General features: G+C 45.2%; 1 protein-coding gene across 14 annotated transcripts in view; it reads right to left on the bottom strand.

Moving 5' to 3' along the window:
* TRAPPC12 (trafficking protein particle complex subunit 12) overlaps positions 1–15,804 on the bottom strand; it is a 99,872-nt gene that overhangs the window by 27,994 nt on the left and 56,074 nt on the right. For all 14 annotated transcript variants that reach the window (XR_426956.4, XR_007076381.1, XR_001738761.2 and 11 more), the window contains one exon: positions 7,681–7,793. Coding sequence is in view for 11 of the 14 variants with exons in the window: in NM_016030.6 (NP_057114.5) it covers positions 7,681–7,793 (113 nt within the window). In the remaining 3 variants the exon portion in view is untranslated. The remainder of the gene's footprint in view (positions 1–7,680; positions 7,794–15,804) is intronic.

Below are 15,804 nucleotides of genomic sequence, written 5' to 3'. Positions count from 1 at the left end.
AGTCTGGGTGACAGAATAAGACCCCCTGTCTCAAAAAAACAAAAAAGAAAAAAAAAGAAAATTCTGAACTGGGTTCTTCATTGGGTATCAGCATGAGCTCATCTCTGAAAGTGACTGTAATCATGAGAAGACGCTGCTTGGAAATGCAGGGAAGAGGAGTTTGGAGAAAATAACAGATGGAACAGCTGTAAGGCTGAAGAGACGATTCCAGACTCAGACTGCTCTGTGCATAGTGTGGAGGGGCTGCTGCCAGCCCCACCGTGGGGGATACTGCACTGGGCATGTCATGGCCGGTCCAGGGATGAACAGGCTTCAGGCTAACAAGGTGGGGAACCATCAACACCTGCCCACAGTATGGGAGGGAAGATCAATTATTCAAAATTAAAAACCTGCTTGTGTTTTGTCCAAAGAATGAAGAAAATTACACGCCTTGAATGAATATCCCAGCTGCTTGACTCCATATATAACCACTACCACTTGATCTCAAGCAATATTTAAAAAGGCAATTTGTAACCTATTCATATTTAAAGAGACCCAAATCTATGTTCTCATCCTATGCAGTTATCCAGGAGGTGGTGAAGCAGGTTTTCTGGCTGGGTCACTGACACCTTCAGTGTGGAAAGTGCTGTCTGCAGGGGGCCTTGAGGAAGGAGCCTTTGCGTCTGTCCCTTTGGCAGCTGTCACGGGTCGTGGGTGAGCACGGGATAGGTTTAGGGAACTGGTTTTATTCCCAAGGCATCTAGTATACAAACTACTGGGAAGCTGGCACTAAGCCAAGGACCTGAGAACTTACTAAGTGGACCCTTTTGAGTGGAGACTAAAGCTTGGAGCAGCTCTGTTCTGGAGAGACTTAGATTTTGGAAAGTCCTGCGACCTTCCAGTCCCACCACAGCTTCCCAGGGGACCTCTTCAAAGTAAAAGAGTCTTCTTGGAGCTGCTCCAAAGCTCTCAAAGAATCATGAAACACGGACCACGTGCCTGGCAGGCACCATGCGAGGTCACTGACGTGCGCCCCCTCGCCACCCCGGGGGGATCAGCAATGCTCTCACTTGCACAAAGAAGGCCGAAGCGGACACAGGCTGGAGGGCTGGTCATGCAGCCGGCACTTCAGAGCGGACCTGGAAGTTTCCAGACTGTCAGCCTGACTCCAAAGCCACTCTCACAACCACTGCTTTTGGGACAGTGTCCTCTGGGCCCCTCATACCTTGAAAATACACTTTCTTCTTTCTACTCAGATCACAGATTGACAGAACACATACTGCCGAGAAAAGCAAGGCAAAGAATGCACGATTTAAGAATCATCTTACATCAAAGGCCTCTTCTCTGGGCTATCATGCCCGCTTCAGGGCTGGGTCGCTGGCAAGGGCTATGGCCTTCGAGTTCACATTTGGTGCATTTGGTTTTGAATCGGGTTGCCACGGCTGGGTGGCGGGGTTGGGCATTCCTAAGTCCATGTCCCAGGATTGGCCACGATGAACTCTAGAGGTTTCTGAAGGTGTGAATTTCCACTGCCAGCCAGGTCAAGACATTCCCCTGGAAAGCCCTGATGCCCAGTGCTTTCCGCTCCCTCTTCTTCTTCTGCTTGCACATTCTGAACACACACGGGGTTCCAGGAGCATGGGCTTCAATGGCAAAGAGCAGGGAAGTGGCCTCGATGGATGGCCATCCTCACTCGGCCTTTCCTTTCTTCTCCCCACCTGCCAGTCATTCCCATCTCATCTGATTAAGCCACAATCAATTTGTTTTCTGTGGAAGCAGCAGAAAAGAAGGGCAACCAAACCCTCTGGGTCAGGCACGGTGATGGCAATAACTGGCCACTGTCGGTGTGCGGGTGGCCAGGCCCTGAGTCCTGGCCCTGACAGTGTTAGAGGCCAGCCACGCCTGTTCTCACTTATGTTTCTAACTTTGCTTAACAAATAAGACAGCAAAACTGAAGAATGTCCATCTGTCAAAAAACCCTTTTAGAAAAGATATTAACTCTTCCTACAAACAAAGCTCTCACTACCACATTAGCAATTATCAATAGAGAAGCAAAAGCTACATGGACATTGTTGAATACGTTTCTTTTCCGGAGTGCACGAAAATGTACCTTACCCTCTGCCTCCTCCAGCTGGGAGTGAGTCTGTAAAGAAGCACTTGGATGAACGTGAAACTCTCAGCCAAGCTGAGGTGGGGAAGCCGGAGGCTGCGGAACTGCAGGGAGGGATGGAGCTGAACTCAAGACTGGGCGGGCAGATGCAGGTCACTGACGAATGAAACTACAACCGAACAGTGCATCATTCCGTATGGATTATGTCTACTTATGCAAATGGCTTGCAGAAGTGTGTTTGCTTGGCTCTTTCCCAAATGGTCTGTGAAGCTCTCTCGACCCCAGAGGGAGACAGCCTGCAGGGCGCGTGGGAGGAGCAGGGTCAGAGGATGGCGGCACTGATTTTTCAGCAGCACGGGAAATTTATTTTAACTCGTGGTATATGTTCTTCTTCACTGATGCAATCACATTTGCAAACATTTACTAATTCACTCAGTGGCTCAAAGACAACAGATAAAACGAAGTACCCTGAACTCGTTTGTAAAGATCCTAAATGATGTCCTGCTAAAACTGGGCCCCATATAAAAATTCTCAACACTGTTCTAATCTAAAACACACATGCTGAACACAGACTCGAATCAGTCTTTGATGAATCTTCAACACAGGGGAAGTCGGCCCCCTAAGAATCCGTGGGGGATCAGCTTCCCGCTCTGCTCCCTTACCAGGAGCCTCGGCCCGGATTGTGCTCCCGGCACACGCCCTCCGCCCTCGTGTAACCGCGTAACCGGCTGCTCTCCACGCCCTACCCTCGCGTAACCGGCTGCTCTCCACGCCCTACCCTCGCGTAACCGGCTGCTCTCCACGCCCTACCCTCGCGTAACCGGCTGCTCTCCACGCCCTACCCTCGCGTAACCGGCTGCTCTAGACGCCCTACCCTCGAGTAACCGGCTGCTCTCCACGCCCTGCGGGAGGAGGAGCTAATGGAAAACGGCACCAAAGGAAATCATGTTTAACATTCTGGACTCATTTCTTTTCACTCTGTTTGACTCTCCTCACCCACTGGAAGAGTCCACAGTTCCCTGAATCTACTGAGAGCAATTTTTGGCAGGAGCAAGTGCAGTAGAGATTGCTAAAATTTCTGGAACTGTTCAAGTGACGCTTAAGACCAAACTTTAGAGCCCCTGCTTTACAAAGCATCAGAGAAAAGTCTGTATTTGGAGGAAAAAACCACAATCCTGATGGTCTAATTTCACAGAGAACCGCAGAGTGGTGCTCAAGGGTGAGGCTTCTGGAGCTGTGTGATGGGGCTCAGCCAGGCTCCATCGCTGCCTCACTGCAGTTGTCTGGGGAACACTTCACCTCCCTGAGGCCACTTTCCTCATCTGGGAACCGAGGATAATAAAATCACTTGCAGCTGCTGTGGGCATTAGTAGGGGGTAATCAACATAATGCATTCAGCACCTCACACATCCATGCAGCGTTAACACGTGACTGCACCTCAGTGCTGGGACACACAGCACGTGTCCTGAGCAGAGCTGTGTGTGTGCGTGTGGTTTGGGGCAGGTGTGGTGAATACTTTAAACAATGCAGCAAAGGGCAGTCCACGGACCGAGAGGTCTCACTAACACATCCTTAGTTTAAGACTTCCTGAGGATTTCCTGGAGTTGTGAAGGTCTGGGAAAATCAGAATGTCATGCTGGAGAACCCTGGAGTCTCTGGTCTGACCTCTCTCTTTACTCACCAGTGGAGAGCAGAGGGGATCAAAGGCCACACCAAGCCGTTCACTTTAATCCAGCAAATCAACACCGGCAGAATAGTGGTGGGCTGGCTTTTAGTATTTTTAGATTTTGCACTATGATATAGTTTGGACATTCATCCCCTCCAAATCTCATGTTGAAATGTGAGCTCCAGTGTTGGAGGTGGGGCCTGGTGGGGGGTGTTTGTGTCCTGGGGGTGGATCCCTCATGGGTGGCTTGGTACCGTCCCTATGGCAATGAATGAGTTCTGGCTCTGTTAGTTACCTTGGGATCTGATTGTCAAAAAAAGTCTGGTGCCTCCCTCCTCCTCCTCTTCTCTCTCGCTGTCTTTCTCACCATGTGACACACTTGCTTCCCCTTTGCTTTCTACTATGATTAAAAGCTTCCTGGCCAGGCGCAGTGGCTCATGCCTGTAATCCCAGTACTGTGGGAGGCCAAGGCGGGTGGATCATTTGAGGTCAGGAGTTTGAGGCTAGCCTGGCCACCATGGTGAAGCCCTGTCTCTACTAAAAATAGAAAAATTAGCCAGGTGTGGTGATGGGCGCCTGTAATCCTAGCTACTCAGGAGGCAAGGCAGGAGAATCGCTTGAACCTGGGAGGTGGAGGTTGCAGTGAGCCAATAGCGCCACTGCACTCCAGCCTGGGTGACAGAACGAGACTCCGCTTCAAGAAAAAAAAAAAAAGCTTCCTGAGGCCTCACTGGAAGCAGATGCTGACACTGTGCTTCTTGTACAGCCTGCAGGACTGTGAGCCAAAATAAACCTTTTCTTTATAAATGACTCACCCTCGGGTATTCCTTTATGGCAAAGCCAGATGGACTAATACACACTTCTTGAGTAAAGAAATTCTAGCATGAACACAAACTGTCCCTTTTTAAATTCTGGAGGATCATGATGTATTGGTGATGGCTGCAAACCTAAAAGGAACAGGTGAAACAAGCATCGTCTACCAAACTGTAAACTCACTGAGGGCGAGGCTGCGTTCTGTTGAGTCCCGAACTGCCAGTGTGCAGTACTCAGTAGGTGCTGAAAGGGCATTTGCTGCATGAACAAATGAACAAGCTCAGATAGAGCTGTTCTGGACAGCGTGGAGACGCATTGCTCCATGTCCCCGCAGTGCCCACTGTTCACATCCAGATAAAAACTGCTTCAGTTCAACACTGAACCAGCCGCAGAAAGGTCAAGAATGCCCACATGCGGCCATGAGCCCCTAACGTGCAAGGAAGTGAGCGAGGAAGTTGGCGACGGTGCTTCTTCTCCTGCCAAAGGTGGCGGACAGGCAAGGCTGACTATATGGTCATGCCCTGGGTCTTTCCCTCTTGGTCCAGGCATCCACCAGCTGTGCCACAGTGCAGCTCTCTCTCTCAAGAGGGTGTCAAATTTTAAGTCAGCACATAAAGGAACACATAGTAATTACATATTGAAATTAACGGTGAAAATCCTTTAAGGTGAAGACCAACACACACCTTTTCATAAATCCAACTGCTTGTTTTTCTTCCAGGATTAGAACGAATTGCGATTTCCTCATTTAAGTACCATAAGGAGTGTTGGCTTAGATTTGGATCATGCCATGGAAAAGATATGTATCTTTAAACATGAGAGATACCTGAAGTGCGGTTATGTATTCACAAGATGAGAGGCAGGTGGAACTGTAGACCAGCGGAGGGAACGAGAAGCATGAGTGGCTCTCTCACTGACGGTGGCCCCACGCCCAGTCAGCCTGAGAGAAACGTTCCTAGGATGTGACTGCACTAACCCTTCTCGTTTCTCCCCAACCCTACGATGCTTAGCTGTCAACTGCTGTTGCTTGGAAGCCCCCTCAAGAGTCTCAGGAGGGCCCAGCCCAGCAGAGCACAGGCTCGAGCCCATCTCCAGGCATCAGTCAGGGGGAAGGGGCAGGGCCCCATTCAGCACAGGGGTCTTCTGAGCAGATGTCAGTTGACCCCGGACAGCACTGTCCTTTCTTGGAGCAGAAATGCTGGTGCAGGGTGGAAGAGAGGACTCTCGGTCCTTCTGTCTTCAAACGGGACATGTTATAGTGATGAAGCCAGGCAAGTGATGAAGAGCATGGACTTTAGAGCCAGATGACTTGGGTTCAACTCATGTGATCCTAAGTTACCTAACCTATCTGTGCCTCAGTTTCCCCATCTGTAAATTGGGATAATAACATCTCCTTCATAGGGTTGTGATAAGGATTAAATGAGTTAATATTGGAACTCAGAGCAGTGGCTGCCTCATAATGAATGCAACAAAGGTGTCTGTCAGGTGGAGTAAGTGCAGGTGCCCAGAGCAGCGGTGTGGGAAGCTCCTGCTCTCTGCTCCACCGTCCCTGCTGCTTCATAGCTAGTGCTAAGTGGCTCCTCTCATCGTTACACTGTAGTATGCAGTTTTTCTTTTTTTTTGAGACAGAGTCTTGCTCTGTTGCCCAGACTGGAGTGCAGTGGCTTGATCTCGGCTTACTGCAACCTCAGCCTCCTGGGTTCAAGCGATTCTCATGCCTCAGCCTCCCAAGTAGCTGGGATTACAGGCATGAGCCCCTGTACCCAGCCTGTAGTATGCATTTAAGGAGCATAATTCTGAAATAGGACATAACAGGACCAGGAAAGCTGACTTGCAAAACTACTTCAACTAACTTGGCTTTTCCATCCACAAATCACCCTATGGCCCAGAATTTTCTCTCTCAAATACTATAAAGATTTCCTACAATGTGACATGGAGGATAATGAAAAATTCGTATAGTTTAGAAAGTCACTGATTTAGAACTTCTCAATTTCAAGTTATGTGCTTCCGATTTCTGTAAATAAAATTAAACCCCGTTTTAAGATTCAAGAAAAGTGTTGAAATGTAAAAAAGTTGGTAACATGATTCTCCATCAACTGATATAGTACAGAAAGCAAACAATTTTTCTTTTTATCTTTTAAGTTATGGTAATAAAAAAATGGAAGTGGGTACAAAGCCCAGGACAACAAGGGGCCTAGAAACGCCTGTTTTTTCTCCACAGATAAGGATAAAGAGGGCCCCTTCCTTCCTTACTAGGAACACTGTTAACACCATCATCTTGGAACTCCGCAAAACTTCTACCACAACAGTTAGGAAGTGAAAGGAGGAATCTGACAAGAAGAATCTTAGTTTTCCCAAAAATTATAATATGCTGCTGCTCCTAATAACTGCTTGTTGTTGTAGTTTTCAAAGTACTTCCGCATACCTTATGTCACTGAACCTATACAGGAACACTGTGACGTGGGTAGAAAGGCAGGATCATTCCTAATCTGAGATGAATACTCTATAACAACCTGTAGACAGCAAAGTCTCTGAGTCCCACATTTCTTCCCAATGTCAGTTAGTGTAATAACGTGCCACTTTGGTGGCTCCCACATTAACTGTGACTTCACAACCAAGAATGAGTCCGAAAACACTCCGACTCTGCCTTTGCAGTCAGGATCATGAGTGACAGTTGCCATAATGCAGAAGCACTTACTTGGATTTGAAAGCTTAAACCATGATTGCTTTCAGTACTGCTCCGGTACCTCTGTCTGCACGTGGCAGGTGCGTGTGGGCACTTGTGGGACACAGGGGTGGTCTGGCACACTGACCTTGAAGCTTCAGCTGGCAGCCTTGGCAAGAAAGATGTCTCTGCCTTTCAGCTTCCCATAGTACCAGGCAGTAAGAATTACAGGACTCAAGCTCTGCTAGAAACTCTTACCATCCCTAAAAAAGATTTCAGCAAGAGACACGACTACCAGGCCACACAAACCGGGTCACCTAGCCTTCTGAAGGCAGAAGCAGCGATGGTGCATGGGGCAGGACGGGCAGGGAACAGCACGGGCATGTCCTGTGGGGAGGGCGTGGAGGGCATGTTCTCCCCGTGGCAGGGAAGAATGACAGCGCCACCTACCTTGCTGCAGACAGTCTTCACCTTGTGCAGTCTATCCAGCGACTCCTGTGGGTTCCCCAGGTACTGCTGAAGCTCCGCGTGCAAGATGCGCATCGAGAAGGGGACCATGGAGCCTGGAATCCAATCAGTGCTGAGTGAGTTTGTTTGCCATAACTGAGCACGCATTCATACTTGGCACACTTGAAGGAGGCGTCGCAGATGTCCCAGCAGAAGTGATGACAGATCCCTTTATTTCTTGTGAAGTATTTAACGGTGTCAACTATAAAATACATGCTGGTTTTCTCTATGGAGCTCTATGTATGTATGTCTCGACAATTATCAGAGGAGACAGGTGGATGACACCACAATTTCCAAAGCTACACTGCAATCATTTAGAAATGATCCCAAAATGAATGAAACAGTAGAGACCGCCAACCCCTCCTCCAATAAAAGAAAAACCAGAATGCTCAGATATTCTTTAATATTTCTTTAGTTTAGCAAGCTCGAATGGTAGGTTGCTTAGCTTGGGTTCCCCAGAAGGAGACCCTGAAGGGAGAAGCCGTAAGCCAGCCAGTGGTTCCGGAAGTGCTCCCGGGAAAACCAGTGGGGAGGAGGCGAAACTGAGCACAGGTGCGTCTCAGGCCTCGGCCCTGGGGATGGGCCTCCCACTGGATTCCATGTGGCCCTGGAGCCTGCGTTCCACCTCTGACAGGAGGCAAGGGAGCTGGACTTGAAAAATCCATCACCCAGAGCTGCCTGGCTTTGCGTGCGCTAAGAAGAGGAAGAAGCTCAGGAGAAACCCCCTTTATATCGTATCACCTGTGGCTGCATCATCTCTCAGGGTAAGGTCAACTTTTTGTTAATATTGTGTTCTCTTCTAATAGGATTTGGAATTTGATCTGTAGTATGTATACTAAGTAGATAACAATCATCAAAAAATCAAATAGCGTGCACTGATTATAAATGAGATAAAGAATAGAGAAATGCCAGAGGGCAATCACATAGATTCAGTAAAGTGCTTTTCAAAATAGGCCTAAGCGATGAATATTCGGATCTGGAATATAGTCTGAAAGATGGTGAGAAAACACGCGTATGACTTCTGCAAGCCACTTAATGTATCTGTGCCTCAATGCATCCATCTGTCTATTCATTAACCATTACTGAGAATGGGCCGTGACCACACTGAAATGAGCTTTATGTTTATGGTCTTTAATAACAAAGGTCCAAAAAGAAGACAGTCAAAATTAAGGAACACTATGGAAAACAGTTCTATTGTGATTATAAGCCTGGAGAAAAGAAAGGTAACAATTATTGAACTTAAAATGTTTAAACTTTCTTTTTTGATGCCACTAAATAATTTCTGTATCTCAAGAGAATATCTGGCCGAGCTTAAGTTACAGCCTGAGTCACTTCGGTTTTCTAGAAATAAACATTTCTAGACCATCCGCATAATGACACAGGGGACTGGCCTACAATTAAGTCATATGTAAGTCATGTCACTGTGGAACCGGCCCAACATGGTAAGTTATATGTAAGCCACGTCACTTCCATCCTTCTGTCTCAAGTAGAGAAGGGGCCAGAATCACTCCTGTGTGGTTTATCACTTACCACAAGGGAGAGAATATCTCAAGAACCCTTCAAGCTCTATAAGATAAGCACAGAAACAAACCTCTACTGGAAGTTCTCAAACCCAACTTGGGACTAGCTGTTAATACTCCGATCTCAGTTTACAGACTAGCTGTTAATACTCCGATCTCAACGTACAGACTAGCTGTTAATACTCCGATCTCAACGTACAGACTAGCTGTTAATACTCCGATCTCAATTTATAGACTAGCTGTTAATACTCCGATCTGGAATACAGTTTGGTGGATGGTGAGAAAACAGGCTGTGTGACTCCTGCCACTTCACCTGAGAAGGTGGCAGAAAGTTAGCTGCCCCTTATCCTGACAACTGCCCATGGACATGGGGGTGCTTCTGGATGTAAAAGCACATGTGAAAATATTTTGAACTAAGTGAAAATAAAAATACAACTTATCAAAATTTGTGGGATGCAGCAAAAGCAGTGCTGAGAGGAAGCTTTTTAGCATTAAATGCATATATTGGAAAAGAAAGATCTGAAACCAGCTTCACCTTTGAAAACTAGAAGGAAAGAAAGAGCAATATAAGCCTAAAGTAAGCAGTAGAGAAGAAAATAATAAAAATATTATTTTATTATAAGAAAATAAAATATTTTATTATAAGAAAATAATAAAAATATTATTGTATTATAATAAGAAAATAATAAAAATATAATAATAAAAATTAGAGCAGAAATCAGTGAAACTGAAAACAGGAAATCAATAGACAAAATCAACCAAACCAAAAACATATTCTTTGACAAGACCAATAAAACTCTGACAAGACCAATAAGTCTCTCCCCAGGCTAGTCAAAAAACAGAGAAGACATAAACAACTAGTACTAGAAGTGAAGGACTATTACTATGGATCCTATGAACAGTAAAAGAATAGTAAAGGAATATTATGAACAGCTCTATGTCCATACATTTGGTAACTTGGATAGAAAAAGAAAAACCTTTCCAAAAAGCAAGCCCCAGACCCAGATGGTCTCACTGTGAATTCCACCTAACATTTATGGAAGAAATGCTACCAGTTCTCTACAATCTCTTTCAGAAAACAGAAGCAGAGGAACGCTTTCTAACTTCTTATATGAGTCTGGCATTACCCTAATACCAAAACCAGACAAAGACGTTACAAGAAAAAAAAACTGTAGACCAATATGTCTCATGAACATAAATGCAAAAATCTTCAACAAAATTAGCAAACTAAATCTAAGAAAACTGAAGTCAACAAAAAATTAGCAACCAAATCCAACAATGTATAAAAAGAATTATGAACCATGACCAGACAGAATTTATTCCAGGTATGCAGGGGTGATCTAACATTCCAAAATCAATTAACATAATCTACCACATCAAACAGGCTAAAGAACAAAAATCATATCAATAGATGTAGAAAAGCATTTAACAAAATCCAGCACCAGCTCGTGATAAAAACTCTCAGCCAACTAGGAATAGAGGGAAACTTCCTCAACTTAATAAAGGACATCTACAAAACAACTGCAGCTAACAACAAACTTAAGAGTGAGAAACTCAGTGACTTCCCCCTAAGATCATGAATAAAGCAACAATGTTCCCTCTTATCTCTTCTACTGAACATTGTACTGGAAGTTCGAGCTAATGCAATGACAAGAAAACCAAAGGTACACAGACTGGGAAGAAGGAAATAAAACTACTTGTTTGCAATGACATAATTATAAAGAACAATCTCAAAGAACAAAAACACTTCTAAACTAGGAAGTGATTAAAAGTCACAGGATACAAGATCAATATGCAAAAGTCAACTGGCTTCCTAGATACTAGCAATAAATGATGGGAATTTGAAATTAAAAACACACTATCATTTCTACATAAATAAGTGAAATACCCACGTATAAAATGGACAAAATATGCACAAGAGCTATAGGAAGAAAACTATAAAACTCTGATGAAAAAATTCACAGAGCTGAAGAAATCAAGAGATATTCCACATTCATGGACAGGAAGACAATACTGCTAAAATATCAGTTCTTTACAACTTGACCTACAGATTCGATGCAGCCCCAATCAAAATCTCAGCAAATTATTTTGTGGTTATCAACAAAATGATTCTGAAGTTAATATGGAGAAGGAAAACACCCAGAACATCCAACACAATATCAAAGAGAGCAAATCTGGCAGGCTGACACTACCCACCTTACAGAGCTACTCTAAAGCTACTGTAAAAAAGACTGGGTGACTGTGTGGTCCTAGAAAAAGAACGGACAAATAGATCAGTGGCCCAGAGCAGAAAGACAAGAAATTGGTCCTCACAAATATAGTCAGTTTGATCTCTGACAAAGGAATAAAGGTAATTCAATGGAGAAAGGACAGGTTTTTCCAAAAATGGTGCTGGGACAACTGGACGTCCACATGAAAAAAAAAAAATGAATCTAGACACAGATCTTACATCTTACCCCAAAATGAACTCCAATAACAGACTACATGTAAAGTGCAAAAACTATACAACTTCTAGAACAGAACACAGATGAAAATCTGAGTGACCTGGGTTTGCTGATAATCTTTTAGATACAACACCAAAAACACCATCCATGAAAGAAAAAAATCAGTAAGTTGGACTTCATTAAAATTAAACACGTATGCTCTGTCCAACGTAGTATTAAAGTAATGAAGAGACAAGTCACAGATAGGAAGAAAATAGCTGTAAAACACCTATCTGATAAAGAACTTGTATTCAACATATATGAAGAATTCTTAAAAATCAACAACAGGCCAGGTATGGTGGCTGATGCCTGGGATCCCAGCACGCGGGGAGGCTGAGGCGAGCTGATCGCTTTTTTTTGTTTCTACAAAAAATACAAAAACTAGCCAGGTGTGCCTACAGTCCTAGCTACTCCATTGGTTGAGGTGGGAAGGCTGCTTAAGCCCAGGGGCTTGAGGCTGCAGTGGGCCATAACTGCACCACTGGACTCCAGCCTGGGTGACAAAGTGAGACTCTGTCTCCAAAAAACAGACAATGAGAAAACAACCCAATTAATAAATGGGCAACAGATCTGAACAGACATATCACCAATAAAGATTTATCAATAACAAGCATATAAAAAGATGCTCATCATCATATGTCATTAGGGAACTGCAAATTAAAACAATGAGGTAACACTACACACCTATCAGAATAGCGAAAAATCCAAAAAATGACAATACCAAAAGCTGGCTGAGGATGTGAATCAATAGGAACTCTCATTGATTGCTCTTAGGAAAGCAAAATAGTATGAAAGTTTTGGAAGATGCTTGGCAGATATTTACAAGGCTAAGAATACTTTTACCATAAGATCCAGCAATCACAGTCCTAGAGATTTACCCAAGGATTGGAACTGATAAAGGTGATAAAACTTGTATCTACACAAAACCCTGAAAAAGAATGTTTATAGTAGCTTTATTCATAATTGTCAAAAACCAGAAGCAACCAAGATGTTCTTCAACAGAGAAATGGATAAATAAGCTATGGTATATACATAAAATGGAATATTATTCAGAGATAAGAAACGTACTATCAAGCAGAAAAAGACAGCGGAACCCTAAATGCACATTCCTAAGTGAACGAAGCCAATCTGAGGACCACATACTGTATGATTCCAACTATAAGACCTTTGGAAAAGGGGAAACTATGGAGACAATGGAAAGACTCCAAGCTCCCAGGGGTGATGGGGGATTAACCCAGGGGGATGGGGGGATTAATCCAGGGGTGAGGGGGGATCAATCCACGGGTGGTGGGGATTAACCCAGGGGGATTGGGGGGATTGATCCAGGGGTGGCGGGGGATTAATCCAGGGCTGGTGGGGGTATTAATCCAGGGGTGATGGGGGTTAATCCAGAGGTAGTGGGTGTATTAATCCAGGCGTGATGGGGGATTAATCCAGGGGTGATGGGGGATCAATCCAGGGGTGGAAGTATTAATCCAGGGGTGATGGGGGCTAACCCAGGGGTGATGGGGGCTAATCCAGGGGTGATGGGGGTTAATCCAGGGATGGTGGGGGGATTTATCCAGGGGTGGAAGTACTAATCCAGGGCTGATGGGGGGATGAATCCAGGGGTGGTGGGGGATGAATCCAGGGGTGGTGGGGATTAATCCAGGGGTGATTGGGGGATTAATCCAGGGGTGGTGGGGGGATTAATCCAGGGGTGATGGGGTATTAATCCTGGGGTGATGGGGTATTAATCCTGGGGTGATGGGGGGATTAATCCAGGGGTGATTGGGGGATTAATCCAGGGGTGATGGGGGGATTAATCCAGGGGTGATGGGGTATTAATCCTGGGGTGATGGGGTATTAATCCTGGGGTGATGGGGGGATTAATCCAGGGGTGATTGGGGGATTAATCCAGGGGTGGTGGGGGGATTAATCCAGGGGTGATGGGGTATTAATCCAGGGGTGATGGGGGATTAATCCAGGGGTGATGGGGGGATTAATCCAGGGGTGATGGGGTATTAATCCAGGGGTGATGGGGGGATTAATCCAGGGGTGATTGGGGGATTAATCCAGGGGTGATGGGGTATTAATCCAGGGGTGATGGGGGGATTAATCCAGGGGTGATTGGGGGATTAATCCAGGGGTGATGGGGGGATTAATCCAGGGGTGATGGGGTATTAATCCAGGGGTGATGGGGGGATTAATCCAGGGGTGATTGGGGGATTAATCCTGGGGTGATGGGGTATTAATCCTGGGGTGATGGGGGGATTAATCCAGGGGTGATTGGGGGATTAATCCAGGGGTGGTGGGGGGATTAATCCAGGGGTGATGGGGTATTAATCCAGGGGTGATGGGGTATTAATCCAGGGGTGATGGGGGGATTAATCCAGGGGTGATTGGGGGATTAATCCAGGGGTGGTGGGGGGATTAATTCAGGGGTGATGGGGTATTAATCCAGGGGTGATGGGGGGATTAATCCAGGGGTGATTGGGGGATTAATCCAGGGGTGGTGGGGGGATTAATTCAGGGGTGATGGGGTATTAATCCAGGGGTGATGGGGGGATTAATCCAGGGGTGATTGGGGGATTAATCCAGGGGTGATGGGGCATTAATCCAGGGGTGATGGGGGGATTAATCCAGGGGTGATTGGGGGATTAATCCAGGGGTGGTGGGGGGATTAATTCAGGGGTGATGGGGTATTAATCCTGGGGTGATGGGGTATTAATCCAGGGCTGATGGGGGGATTAATCCAGGGGTGATTGGGGGATTAATCCAGGGGTGGTGGGGGGATTAATTCAGGGGTGATGGGGTATTAATCCTGGGGTGATGGGGTATTAATCCAGGGCTGATGGGGGGATTAATCCAGGGGTGATTGGGGGATTAATCCAGGGGTGATTGGGGGATTAATCCAGGGGTGGTGGGGGGATTAATCCAGGGGTGGTGGGGAGATTAATCCAGGGGTGGTGGGGAGATTAATCCAGGGGTGATGGGGTATTAATCCTGGGGTGATGGGGTATTAATCCTGGGGTGATGGGGGGATTAATTCAGGGGTGATGGGGTATTAATCCAGGGGTAGTGGGGAGATTAATCCAGGGGTGATGGGGGTATTAATCCAGGGGTGGTGGGGGGATTAATACACAGGGCAGTGAAACTATTCGGCATGACAGTACAATGAACACGCAACGCCATTAATTTGTTGAAACCCACAGAAGGGACAACACCAAGAGTGAGCCCTAAGGTAAACTATGTACTTTAACAACAATGTACCGCTATTGGTTTATCAATTATAATAAAAGTTCTACGCTAATGCAAAATTTTTATACTTATTAATAATAAAAATGCAAGATGTTATTAAAAACTGTGCAGAAGAAAAGAGGGTATATAGAACTCTCTACTCGATTTTTCTGTAAATTACAAAAAGGGAATACATATATTCTTTAGTATACAATAAAGATGGTGTCTCCAAGGTATTAGATGGAAAATGGAGTTTTTAATGAGCATGGTTCAGATATGGGGATTGCCACATGAAAAAAGATAAAATCAGATCCATTTCTTTGGGGTGAAGGACTGTGTTCTTGGGATCTCAAATTGAGACTTAAAATATGTATTTTTTTTCTCAGAAATACTATTAAATATAGTGGCCAGCTGTAGCTGAAAGAGTAATATTAATACTTGATTAAAGGTACATTCTGACCAGCTGCAGTCTTATCACCTGTGCCCTTGTTAGAACTTCAGAGTCTCAGGCCCTGCCCAGACCTGCTGCATCAGGGCCTGCCCTCCACAAGAGGCTGGGTGACTCCTGTGCATGCTGAGATGGAGAAGCACTGCTCTAAAACAGTACCTTACTGATGTGAAATTAAAATTCGCTAACTCAAAGGTTATCAGGTAATATCAACTATATTTTTATAATGCCTCAAAATGCACATTGACCTTCCTTAGGATCAAATTAAAACAGGTAATCGGTACTATACAGTGCCTTCATTATAACAGGTAATTAGTACTACATATAGTGCATTCATTACATATCACACAGGAAAATGTCCCTCATTAGATATATATTGTTTCCTTGCTACTTCTAC

The sequence above is a fragment of the Homo sapiens genome, chromosome 2 (genome assembly GCF_000001405.40).
Source record: "Homo sapiens chromosome 2, GRCh38.p14 Primary Assembly".
Taxonomy (NCBI): Eukaryota; Metazoa; Chordata; class Mammalia; order Primates; family Hominidae; genus Homo; species Homo sapiens.
This window is presented reverse-complemented; position numbering and strand designations above follow the sequence as displayed.